The sequence below is a fragment of the Homo sapiens genome, chromosome 21, assembly GCF_000001405.40.
Source record: "Homo sapiens chromosome 21, GRCh38.p14 Primary Assembly".
Lineage (NCBI taxonomy): Eukaryota > Metazoa > Chordata > Mammalia > Primates > Hominidae > Homo > Homo sapiens.
Genome location: NC_000021.9, coordinates 44,018,316 through 44,032,026, shown reverse-complemented (window position 1 = coordinate 44,032,026; position 13,711 = coordinate 44,018,316). Strand labels below are relative to the sequence as shown.

The window sequence follows — 13,711 nt, the reverse complement described above, 5'->3', positions numbered from 1 at the left end:
GAGCTTAATAAATTGGTGTTTTTAGGTAGTTTTATGTTTAGTAAAGCGATATCGCAAGATTCTTCTGTACCTGTGCCTCTACATAACACGTCTCAGGAAAACCCAGCACGGGACAGATGTGATGAAGCTGAACCCTCGTGACACCTCCATGGGGTGGGTGTGATTTTCCCCACAAGGAAAACAAGGATCAGAGAAGGTGAAGAACTTGCCCCAAGGACACAAAGCTTAGGAGAGGGAGCCTGCTCCACCTCACCCAGCTTTGCTGTGTTCTACAGCCTCCACTTTCTCCCAGACGCCCAAAATCCATGGAGAAAAAGAAACCAAAACTTCACCAAAATCAACTCACTGTTCAACCAAGTGCCAGGAGGAGCTAAAATTTATAGGTGGCTCCCCATGTGCGAATATTACACAAGGCACCTGCCAGGCACCCTCTCATTCTGTCTTCCCCATAACTCCTGGGAGGAAAGGCACAAACACGACCCCAATTCACAGATGAGGAAAGTCAGCTTTGAGGGCCAACGTGTTCAGTGCACAGAGCTGACAGTGGCAGACGCGAGTTAGGAATCCAGCTGCGGCCGACTTTACGCTGCACGCTCAGTGTTAATTCAGCTTTTATCTTTGCTTTAATAGAAATGAAAAATCCATTTTGTTCTCATAAAATGATGATATAACTGTATTACACTTCGGCTAAAAAAGAACCTTTTAATATAGATGACTAAAATTCTTATACTCAGAGGATCCTCTTTACTTTAGCAAACCATTTTCCAAATTGCTTTTATATTGATCTTTAAGAAATCATTGGGAATTGATGTGTGCCATTAACACATCTGCTTATTTTGCTATCAAAAGCCTAAAAATAAAAAACCTCCTGAAACTCATATAATAATGTCAAGTCACTGAGGAAGGGTAATGACATTTCCGGGCAGATGGCACGGTGAGTGGGCAAGGCGCTGGTAACCTCACTGCCCGGTCCCCATCTCAGTTCCATCACTGACCAGCTGACTGCACCTGGGGAGATCATTTAACCTTCCTGTGCCTCGGGGACATGGGAAATGGGAAAATGAGAAGAGCTCGGCCAGAGGAGCTCTGGTGAGGATTAAATGAGACAAGACACGTCAGTCACTTCCAACAAGGCATGGCACATAGTGGTTAAAAAGGGACTATTACTACATTTTGTTAACACAAAAACAGTATGTTTGAACTTATCACTTTTTATCTTGTTCATTTATTTGGTAGTCATCTTAGAAATCAATAAAAGAGGCCAGGCGTGATGGCTCACACCTGTAATCCCAGCATTTTGGGAGGCCGAGGTGGGCAGATCACCTGAGGTAGGGAGTTTGAGACCAGCCTGACCAACATGGAGAAACCTTGTCTCTACTAAAAAAATACAAAATTAGCCGGGCGTGGTGGCGCATGCCTGTAATCCTAGCTACTCGGGAGGCTGAGGCAGGAGAATCGCTTGAACCGGAAGGCGGAGGTTGCAGTGAGCCAAGATTGCACCATTGCACTCCAGCCTGGGCAACAAGAGCGAAACTCCATCTCAAAAAAAAAAGAAAAAGAAAGAAAAGACATCAATAAAAGAAAAGAAGAAAATCTTTAGTTAGCCTCTGGTTTCTTAACTTTGATTGCCAATTTCTGTTGTCCTGTTAAACAGTTCCAAGATTAATGTATAAAAATCATTACTCTTTGCTAAGTGGAAAGTAAGCCAACTAAATGGAATCGCTTTCTCCTCTTCCACTTGGTTTTCTATATAAAACTACAAACACACACACACACACACTCTCTCGCTCTCTCTCTCACATTCTATCTTTGCAATACAGTTACTTCACATACGTATACAAATAACATCCGTACAGAGTAAAAGTGGAACTGCCTCCAACACCTGCTCCAAGCTCTTCTCCCTGGGAACCCTGCCGTACAGTAAGACTCGTCTAAATGGAGACTACCAAGTAGCAATGTCTCTCGCATTCCATCATGGACTAACTCTCTAACCTGTGTTCACCTAGAAGATGACCAGTCAATCAGCACATCCAACAGTGGCAAAAGTGTCATCTGACCTAAGTAGGAATTTGACCTGGGACCATCTGACCTCAGTACCTGTTATGGGCTGAACTGTGTCCCACAAAAACCTACCTGTTGAAGCCCTAAAATCCAGTACCTCAGAATATAACCATATGCAGATAAGGTCTTCAAAGTTGATAAGGTAGCTTAGTTAAAATGAGGTCTTCAGGATGGGCCCTAATCCAACTGACTTGTGTAAAGAGAAGATTTGGTCACACAGACAGAAGGAACGCAGGAAGGCCCCATGAGGACACAAAGGCCCATGCTGTGGCTGCCTGGACCTGGTCTCCAGAGCTGTGACACAGCGCATTTGTGCTAAGCCACCCAGACTGTGTGACTCTGTGGCGGCAGCCCTAGCACACCAAGACAGTGCCCCAGCGTAGATTTGAAGGCCCAATTCTAACCCACTGAGGCGCTGCATTAACAATGTGAAGAAAAATCACCACCATTTTCTCAGCATATACAACCATTATTTTAATAAACTCTTAAATCTTCACATCAAGTCTTATGAAATTAGAGATGCCTTTGAAAATGGGGTATGGAGAACCAGCACATGAAAGATGGTGAAGAGCAGCTGGGCGCAGTGGCTCACGCCTGTAATCCCAGCAGATTGGGAGGCCGAGGTGGGTGGATCACAAGGTCAAGTGATAGAGATCATCCTGGACAACACGGTGAAACCCCGTCTCTACTAAAAATACAAAAAATTAGCTGGGTGTGGTGGCAGGCGCCTGTAGTCCCAGCTACTTGGGAGGCTGAGGCAGGAGAATGGTGTGAACCCGGGAGGCGGAGCTTGCAGTGAGCCGAGATCACGCCACTGCACTCCAGCCCGGGCGACAGAGCGAGACTCCGTCTCAAAAAAACAAACAAACAACAAAAAAAAAGATGGTGAACAGCTTAAGTTTAAGAGCCCAAAAGAATTCAATCTTGGCTCACGCGGTAGGTAATTAAATTAACAACACAGACTTTGTAGTTTCCTGAACTAACCCAACCATTAAGCAGAAAAGTCACTAGAGCTCTGCGGGCTGAACTGCGAGGCAGAGCACGTTCCAGGCTAAATTTTCATTTTAATCCCACGGGCAACAGAGGCATGAGCGAAACCCAGCAGGAACTCGCTTGTTAATAGGGTGGTTCCTAAGAGCCAAAACGGGGCTTGAGACTGATGTGCCCACACTCAGAAACCCTGTTCACAAAGTCACCCAGTTCACTGTTCTGCCTCAGGAGGCTATTTATTAAGAGACAACTCAGGCCTTTTATTCCAATAACTAAGGTCTCCTTTTTTTGGTGACAGAGGAGATCTATCAAAATAATTTATAAGAGCAATTCAAAACACAACTTCACTACATACACCCCCATCCCTGTGCGTCTCCACACCCACCATTGGCTCTCATGCCCACTGGGGAGACAGGGAGATAAGAGGGTGCGGCAGGTCAGGAAGCTGGGGTGCCATGGATCCCTAAAGTCTGTGGGAGCACAGCATCACCCTGGCTGAACAGCAGGCACTGGAGTCCCCAGATGGGAAGAGACATGTAGAGGGAATGGCAAGCAGCAGCCACCCAGAGGGACACAGGCACTCTTTCTAGGGTGCCGCCTGGAGCCGCTGGATGGGCCCCCAGGCTGAGGAAAGCCCAGTTCAGAGAATCCCCGGGAAAGCGGGGCAGAGCTCTGGGGTCTGATTACATGGACCAATCAGTTTTTGGATTATTTATGCAGTTGCAATTGGATTTTCTGTTACATGCAATCAGATTACTAACATAGGCTTAGCTATTTCCTGAATTATTACTGTATTCCCTGAGATTTTTACAAGCACGTATTCATGCATTACTTGTGTAATTTAAAACCTTTTATGTTCAAAGCAAATAAGAAACACGATGGGGGAAAGAATTCAAAAAGATGACTTCAGTGATTTAGTGTAACAGGTAACATTTCAATAAATTCAATGTCTTACTCTGTTCAGGCTGCCATAACAACATACAATAAACTAGGATGGCTTATAAACAGCAGAAATTTATTTATCATTTCTGGAGGGTGTAAGTCTGAGTCAAGGCTTCAGCAGGTTGAGTACCTTGGTCTTGCTGTGCCCTCACGTGGGGGAAGGGGCAAGGGAGATCTCTGGGGCCCTTTTTTATAAGGGCACTAATCCCTTTTGTGGGGACTCCAGCCACATGACCTAATCACCTCCCAAAGGCCCCACCTCCCAAAACCATCACATTAGGGTCATGGAACAGCTGCTAGGTAACACAGTCAAGAGAAGGGCCACCTGTTTACCGTCCCTCCAGACAGCACCGTGCGCCTGCTATGCCCCCGGCACTTCACGCATACTCACCCTGAACCCTCATATGGAAACCAAGACATCAAGAACTCCCCTAATTGGCCCAACATCAAGCAAATGAGCGCCAAGGCTGGGATTCGAACCCAGGTAGCTTGGCTTAGGACTCAATACTGCCCAGTGCTCCTTCCCAACTTCTTAATTCTAACAAGTTTACTACTTACTCTGCAGCAGTTGTTTTAACAATGGTTGGCTGAAAATATGGGTTCCAAAAGGCCTTCCGCAGACAGAGTGAACATTTCTGTCATCTGTTTTTTACTGAACCAATTCTTGAACGTGCAAAGCCGTGATGGTCTTACTCATACAAAAGTATAAAAGGATCACAAAATTATAACCCTGAGAGAGTGGCTAAGCAAAACAGAATGTTCAGTCAGTTTGTCGCTTTCCTAAATACCTGACATGATATATTTTCAAGGTCAATACTTCTATTTGGAGATTTATGTTGGAAAAAAAAACCTTGACATAAGGAGTCTGAATATTTGCTGATACTCTGATACAGGACAATTTTTCTTCAAATTCTTTAGCATAATCTTGGTAAAAGGAACAGTAAGTTTTCTAATAAAATACATCTCACTTTATCTTAAATTGTTGGAGACATGTGGAGTGTTTCAACCTGTTAACAAGACACTGTCCTCGGCCACCTAATGGGCTGTCTTATTTTCAAAGGCTGGCTTTATTCTGTAGGGCTTAGTAGGCCCCAGAGCACTAATGGGTGAGAAAGACAGAGAAATGGATTTAGCTCAACCCAAGAAATGCTGTGGCCTACGAGAGAAGACCCTGAGGGTGGAGGGGGGTGAAGAATGACAGAAAGTGTCCCACAGCTGGGGGCCTCAACCATGGGCTGGGTCATCTCCCAGTTGCGACTAAAAGCAGCGGAGTGACTGGACTAGACAAGAGATGAACTAATTTTAAGGCCCTCCAAGCAAGGTTCCATGATTCTATTTTTGAACAAAAAAGTCAAAGGAAATGTATAATTTATCTAAGATTTGCTTTACAGAAAATTTTGCAGAAATAATAATTCTTTAAGCCTATTAACAAAAGAAAGCTGCAATCCACTATGAGGCAGTTCATGTTTGAAAACACGGGATTAGAGAGGGCACCGTCTTCAAGCCTAGGAATGCAAGTGCTTGCCCATAGGCCATACATTCATTTCTCTTCAATGGCTTTTGGTAAAACGGGCTTTCAAATGGACGATAAAAACATCCGAGATTACAAACTGGGAAGTCATCTCAGCCTGTTCAATAATGCATAAAGTATTTGCTATAATTCGTGTATAATGTCGAGGCAGTAATGAAAATTAATGCTTCAGATTGGGAGCTCTTTCATGGTGAAAACTAACATCAAATGCATAATCATGGGTATGGAAGCCTCCCCGGTGCTCCTGCCAGAGTATCTGTCCGTGAAAAGCCTTCGCAGTCGGGGGTGGGGGCAGGGAGTGAAGGTCAACGAGAAAGCACAAAAAAGGATCCAGATGTTATCCAGATTCTCTAGGTAGAAAGCAAGGTTTAGTCACCCCCTAAGATGACTAGGCAACTAACTCCACATTTCTAGCATAGACACTGTCCTCCCTTCATTAGAAGGCACATATTTGAGAAGTAAAGCAAATGAACCCTCCCACAGTTCTGCACCACCAAGTTTAAAGGCCAAGTCTAAAGAAGTACTCAGTACACCCCCTGCCATGTCATCGCCGGCTTAACGTTATACCCATTCAGCCTGGCTCTCCTCCAGGTCCTTCCTGTGGTCTCTACCTTCCCTCTGACACACACACACACACACACACACACACACACACACACACACACACACACACACACACACCCCTGCCCTCTGCTGCTCTCTCCCAGCACCCAGTCATATGACAATACTACCCACTGTAGGTGGGGTCAAAAGAAAACCCATACATTAGTGTTCATCAAGTTTCCTACTGTGGAAATTTGCAGAAAAGGAACTACTACACGTAAAGACTAGTCAAAAGACAGAAAGTCCCAGTCTTTTTCTGTTTTAACTTAAAAGACAAGAACACACAGGCCAAGAATGTTAAGAAGTTGAATGAACTCTTCTAATCAAGGAAACAAGTTGCCTTCTCTAGCCCTCAGAGAGCAAACTTAAAATTCAAGAGTTTAAAAACAAAAAGACTGGATAAATGCATCTGAATATAAGAATACTGAGGAATCAGCCTTTAACAGTGTATACATTTTTTAAATAAACACAGCATTACTGTAGCAGTTTGAACCACAGTACTGTATTTACAAGTTAAAAAGAGACACTCCTGTTCCTGGCACCCCAATGCCTTAAGGCTTTAGACAGAAGGGTTCCCAAACTGGTCTTTCCCCAGACTTCCCCTTTGCCACTGGCTTTGTTCAAGGGCTGGCTTCTCAGCGAGGCCTACAGGCAGTTTCCCAATGGTGCAAGCACTCAGGAGGGAGCTGAGGCAGCATCAGCACAGTGACATAACCATTTGCCTCAGCCCAGCAACCCGCCCTGCAGGGCTCCATCCCAACAGGCCCGTCGGAAAGGCCACAGACAGGCTATCTGTGCACAACTACTGGAAACAGTAAAACACAAAACAACTCAAATTCCACCAGGAGGGGACTGGCAGAATAAACCACGGAATATCGACATCATGGAATGAGAATGATCTCAACATACTCCTAGCGTGGAGTGGAGTCCGGGGGAAAGTGAGGTGGGACAGTGTGTGCAGCTGGCAATGTCTAAGCTAAGAAAGGGAAATACAAATATGTTTGGATGTTTTTCACGTGGAAGGAAAACCATAAAAACTGTGATGGAGTACTCAGGAAGGGAGGAGTTAGCATGGAGAGGACAGAACATACACAAGGCTTCTTTAAATAGACCTCATTTTGTAGATTTAATTTTGGAAGTAAATATTTTATATAGTTATAAAGCAATTAGATTTTTTCAAGGTTTTCCCTAAAAATAATCAGGAAAAATAAAACAAGTGAACTTAAATGTATACATATACATTTAGTGGTATAATCTCAGAGAGAGGAGCTATGACAAGTAACTTTAAAACTACAGTAATTTGACTGTTCATTCCTTATGGGATACATCCAAATGCCAATAAGAACTGTCAAAAACAGTTCTAGACCTGTGTTCACTAGTCCTGTTGTTGATGGTGGAGTTAATAGTGTTATTCAGAGTCTATGTAATGAGGGATAAAGCAACTGAAAGCAAGTGAGCAATCGTGTGATGTTCTATTCAGTGGCCCCTGGCCCTTCAGCATCAGCACCACCTGGGCATTTGTTAGAAATGCTCATTCTCAGGCCCCACCCAGACCTGTTCAATCAGAAATGGGGAATGGACCCAGCCATCTGTGTGTCCACAAGCCCTCCAGGTGACTGAAGCAGCATGAGCTGGGGAACCTCTAACTCTAGCCTCCTCAAGTACCCATGAGAATTAGGATTTTCAGTGTGGAAAAGAGAAAACACAGAGGATGGAGCTGTTAATTAAAACCCTGCAGCCCTGAGTTTTCATCAAAAAGAGTGAACTTATGATGTATTTTATCTTAAAAATACAAAAAACAAAGAACAATTCCTAGGCTGGTGCGGTGGCTCACGCCTGTAATCCCAATGCTTTGGGAGGCCAAGGTGGGTGGATCACCTGAGGTCGGGAATTTGAGACCAGCTTGGCCAACACGGTGAAACCCTGTCTCTACTAAAAATATAAAAATTAGCCAGATGTGATGGCATGCACCTGTAATCCCAGCTACTCACTACTCGGGAGGCTGAGGCACAAGAATCTCTTGAACCTGAGAGGCAGAGGTTGCAGTGGGCTGAGATCGTGCCATTGCACTACAGCATGGGCAACAGAGTAAGAGCCTGTCTCAAAACAAAACAAAACAAAAACAAAAAACAAACAAACAAAAATGCCTAGCTATTCCTAGCTCTGCCTATTGAAAAGGCCTCACAGCAACTAGGAGCCCAAGCTTGCAGACTATGGTCTTGAAATACTATTTTTCACTAAAAGGAATCAGGGCTCCTTGGCAATTGCTAAGTGCAGATCAGGGCATTAAATGTTCAAAATGAGCCCGGAACATCTTGTCAGGCTAGATAGGAAAGAATCTGACAAAGATGCCTCTATCTTAGACCCCAACATGAAAGAGACTCTCCCTGGCCAAAGGGAGAACAACCTGCTCACCAACGAGGCAACAATGCAATGGACTGTAACACATCAAGTATGTTCATAATGATTAAGTTCACAGCCATACTAAACGAACAACAAAAACACGCCAACCGATCACCTCTGAAAGATGCCAGTGAACCAACTCACTTTGAAAATGGTTACATAGGCCGGGCGCGGTGGCTCACATCTGTAATCCCAGCACTTTGGGAGGCTGAGGCGGGAGGATCACGACGAGGTCAGGAGATCGAGACCATCCTGGCTAACACGGTGAAACCCCATCTCTACTAAAAATACAAAAAATTAGCCCGGCGTGGTGGCGGGCACCTGTAGTCCCAGCTACTCGGGAGGCTGAGGCAGGGGAATGGCGTGAACCCGGGAGGTGGAACTTGCAGTGAGCCAAGATGGAGCCACTGCACTCCAGCATGGGCGACAGAGCAAGACTCTGTCTCAAAAAAAAAAAAAAAAAAAAAAAAAGACATAGGGAAATGAGAATATCACCATTTTGCAACCTTTAGGGAATTAGTGATGTGAAAATAAATGGCTGCCAATTTCCAAAAGGAGAGGTAATCGGACATCACGCACCTGCTGGAAGAACAGCAACACCCATGATAAAGTCCTGCCGACAAAAAATCCAGCCTGAAGCTGACCCAGCCTCCAGCTCCAACTACCAAAGTCTAGGCAGTGGGACCTTTTCAAGACAAATGAGCCAGGTTCATCAAGTTATAAAGAAAAAAAAAGAGACAGAGGGAACATGAAGATTTTAAGAGACTTAAAGGATTTATCTAAAAACTGTATTTGGATACTAATTCAAACAGTTTTAAAAATGGACATTTAAGACACACTGGAAACTTAAACACTGAATATTTGGTATTAAGAAACGTTTTAGGCCCAGGCATGGTGGCTCACACATGTAATCCCAGCACTTTGGGAGGCAAAGGTGGGCGGATCACCTGAGGTCGGGAGTTCGAGATAAGCCTGACCAACATGGAGAAACCCCATCTCTACTAACAAACCCCGTCTTTGTAAAAAAAAAAAAAAAAAAAAAAAAATTAGCTGGGCATGGTGGCACACGCCTGTAATCCCAGCTACTCGGGAGGCTGAGGCAGGAGAATCGCTTGAACCTGGGAGGCGGAGGTTGCAGTGAGCCAAGATCGCACCACTGCACTCCAGCATGGGCAACAAGAGTGAAATTCCATCTCAAAAAAAAAAAAAAAAAAAAAAAATTTAGCCAGGCATGGTGCCATGTGCCTGTAATCCCAGCTACTTGGGAAGCTGAGGCAGAAGAGTTGCTTGAACCCGAGAGGCGGAGGTTGCAGTGAGCTGAGATTGTGCCACTGCACTCCAGCTTGGGCAACAAGAGCGAAACTCCATCTCAAAAACAAAAACAAAAACAAAAGAAAGAAAGAAACGTTTTAGGTGTAATTAAAAAATACCATGAAAGAAAAAAAAAAAGAAAGAAATTTTTAAAAAGAAAAAAAAATGCCATAGACTGGGTGGCTTAGAAAACAGTTTTTTGTTTTCTCTCTGAAAAGACCCTAAGAAAGAAAAAAAAAATCGCAATGTATTTTCTCATAGCTCTGTAGGTCAAGAAGCCCGAGATCAAGGTGTCAGTAGATTAGGTTTCTGGTGAGGCCTGTGTTACAGACTGCAGACAGCCACTTCCTTGCTGTTATCCTCAGGTGGCCTTTCCTCGTTTCAAGGGGGAGGTGTCCTCTCACTCTTCCTCATCTAATCCAATAATAAAGGGCCCACCCTCCTGACCTCATCTAGCCCTGGTACTTCTCAAAGGCCCATCTCCTATTCTTAGCACACTGGGAGTCAGGGCTTCGGTGTGTAGGGAGGGACACAAATGTTCAGTCCATAACATCCATTCGTGGATAAATTATATGTCTGAGATTTGCTTCAAAATAATATAAGACTGGGGAGAATGAGGGGTATAGAGAAGCAAGATTGGGCAGTTCACCTAATTGCTGTAGTTGGGTGAAAGGTTTGTAGGGTCTCTTTATAATATTCTGTCTACTTTGATACATATTGCACTTTTATAATAAAATATGTGAAATGTTACAGTTCTTCCATTTCCCTTATCCTTCTCTTTTTCTTTTTTCCATAGCACTTGTCACCTAACATTATTTGTCTATTGTCTATCTCTTCTTGACAGAATGTAAACTCTCAAAGGGTTGGGATCTTTGCTCTCTGACATAACCCAAGCCCCTTCAGCAGTAACTGGCATGTAATAGGTCCTCCGTAAATGTTTGCTCACTGATGAAAACAGCCCAACTCCTCCATACTCCACACTAGACAACCCAGGATCCCCAAAGGACAGAACAGACTACAGGAGAAGCAAAGACAGTGCTGGGTATCAAGTTCTCAGAATAGGAATTTAATTTTGGAATAAGACTATACTAAAAATTTCTAGTGTATAGCTTACTTACTCAATTCTTAGAATGCTAAAGTGACATTTTTATTTAATTATATGGCAAAGGCTTTCTCAGAAGCATAATTTTAGGGACAAACTCCCTGCTTCCATGTGAACAGATGGTGTCTGCCTTCCCTAAGTACTTGGTAAAGCAGGAGTCATCAGACATGCTAATATTGGTCCGAGCTGTGCTACTAAACAGTTACACTGATCATGGCCAGTCACAGCAAAACCAGCCCTCAGCTCCTCAACTTCAAAATGACTTCTGACGGCCCTTCTCATTAACCTGGATGTTTAGAGCTTGCTGACTGGTCTAGGTGAACTGACAGTGCCCACAAATGGCAAGCTACAGATTGAGTTAAAGTTACTATCCAAACAGGTGGTTGTCAGTTCCAAGGCTCTGCTAAAAATTTCAACCCTGAAATTGTTTTTTTTTGTTTTTTGTTTTTTGAGACAGGGTCTCACTCTGTCGCCCAGACTGGAGTGAAGTGGCACAAACATGGCTCACCGCAGCCTCAAATTCCTGGGCTCAAGCGATCCTCTGGCCTGTCTCCCAAGTAGCTAGGACTAGAAGCACGCACCACCATGCCCAGCTAACTCTGAAATGTATACAATCGCTTCAAACTGCTAACAGATCTCAGTTAAAAATAAGAAAAATGGGCCAGGCGCGGTGGCTCATGCCTGTAATCCAGCACTTTGAGAGGCCGAGGCGGGCAGATCACAAGGTCAGGAGATCGAGACCATCCTGGCTAACACGGTGAACTCCATCCTTACTAAAAATACAAAAAAATTAGCCAGGTGTGGTGGTGGGCGCCTGTAGTCCCAGCTACTCGGGAGGCTGAGGCAGGAGAATAGCGTGAACCCAGGAGGCGGAGTCGGAGCTTGCAGTAAGCCGAGATCACGCCACTGCACTCCAGCCTGGGCAATAGAGCGAGACTCTGTCTCAAAAAAAAAAAAAGAAAAGAAAAGAAAAATGTCCAAACATACAATGGAATGGTCCCTGGTCACTGTTAAAAAAAAAAAATTGCAAACAGGGGCCTAAAATAATATTCAGAAATTAAACACCATGTAACAAATGTCCAAAAAGCCACATAAGGGAGAGAGCACAGAAGAGGCTGGACTTTTCCTAAGAAGGGATCACCCCACCTTGTAACCACATCTAGAACCCAGAAGCCCAAATGTCAAGATAACATTCCCTCGGTCAGGAGTACACGAAGGACAAACCTCCAAAGACAGACGCAGCTGTCTAAAACCAAAGACGCTTGATGAATGCCGGCCACTGCGCGCTTGGTAGCTAACACAGACAGTGGTGCGGCAGGTGGCATGGTGCCCCACAACATCCTAACCCTCAAAACCTGTGAATGTCACCTTATTTGGGAAAGGGGTCTTTGTAGACTTAATTAAGTTCAGGAGCTCAAGATGTGATTATCCCAGATTATCCAGGCAGGCCCTATATATAGCTGGATTCTAGATATATTTCAAAGATAATGTCAGTTGTGAGAGAAAAAAGAAGTCATAAATGACTCCAAGGTTATCAATTTTTAATTTAAAAACAAATATTCTCTAAGGCCAAAATACTGTGACTATATTTGACATTAAGAGCAGATAGAGGAAAGATTTGAGGAAGAAAGAAGGTGAGACACAGGACAGGAAGCCACAGGAAGCTCTGAGGCAACCCACCACAGAGGCAGGCACTGAGGTGGGAATGTTTTGACTGTTTAAGACCCTGCAGCTGTCTGGGCACAGTGGCTTATGCCTGTAATCCCAGCACTTTGGGAGGCCAAAGAGGGCGGATTGCTTGAATCCAGGAGTTCAAAACGTGCCTGGGCAACATGGCGAAACCCCATCTCTACTGAAAATACAAAAAATTAACTGGGCATGGTGGCACACAAGCAGCTACTCGGGAGATTGAGGTGGGAGAATCACCTGACCCCAGGAGGTCAAGGCTGCAGTGAGCCGAGATCATGCCACTGCACTCCAGTCTGGGCGACACAGTGAGACCATGTCTTAAAAAAAAAAGACCCTGTAATCTTCTGCCGTTGCTGGTCTCTAACTCCAGATCTAAAGCCACCAGGTCTAGAGTGGAGCACGGGGGTGGGAGGGTCAGTACTTGGAGATCAGTGTGCAATACCTTTGGAGACCACACACTTACACACTAAGGCATGCGACTCCAGGGAAGACACTCTGTCAACTGGCAACAAACTTTCCTACGACAAAAAAATCCTTAAGTCAGTTATTTGTATTTCCATTAAAAGATAACCAACTCAGCCAGAGTGAGCCACACAATCACACTGTCAGTTGGCAGGCCTCTGGTGGAAGCACACAGCAAAAACTCTCTAAGGAAAGACTGGTTCATGTGTTATGCCCGACATACTTTTTTTTTTTTTTTTTTGAGACGGAGTCTCACGCCAGGCTGGAGTGCAGTGGCATGATCTCGGCTCACTGCAACCTCCGCCTCCCAGATTCAAGCAATTCTCCTGCCTCAACCTCCCGAGTAGCTGGGACTACAGACGCGAGCCACCACGCCCAGCTAATTTTTGTATTTTTAGTAGAGACGGGGTTTCACCATGTTGGCCAGGGTGGTCTCAATCTCTTGACCTCATGATCCACCCACCTTGGCCTCCCAAAGTGCTGGGATTATGGCCATGAGTCACTGCGCCCAGCCTTTATTTTTTTTTCTGAGACCAGGTCTTGCTCTGTCACCCAGGTTGCAGTGTGAGGTACAATCACAGATCACTGCAGCCTTGACGTCCCAGGTCCAAGTGATC

At 44.6% G+C, this 13,711-nt stretch overlaps 1 protein-coding gene across 16 annotated transcripts in view; it reads right to left on the bottom strand.

The window, feature by feature from the left end:
* Positions 1 to 13,711, bottom strand: part of TRAPPC10 (trafficking protein particle complex subunit 10) — a 94,244-nt gene that overhangs the window by 74,526 nt on the left and 6,007 nt on the right. The window lies entirely within an intron of this gene.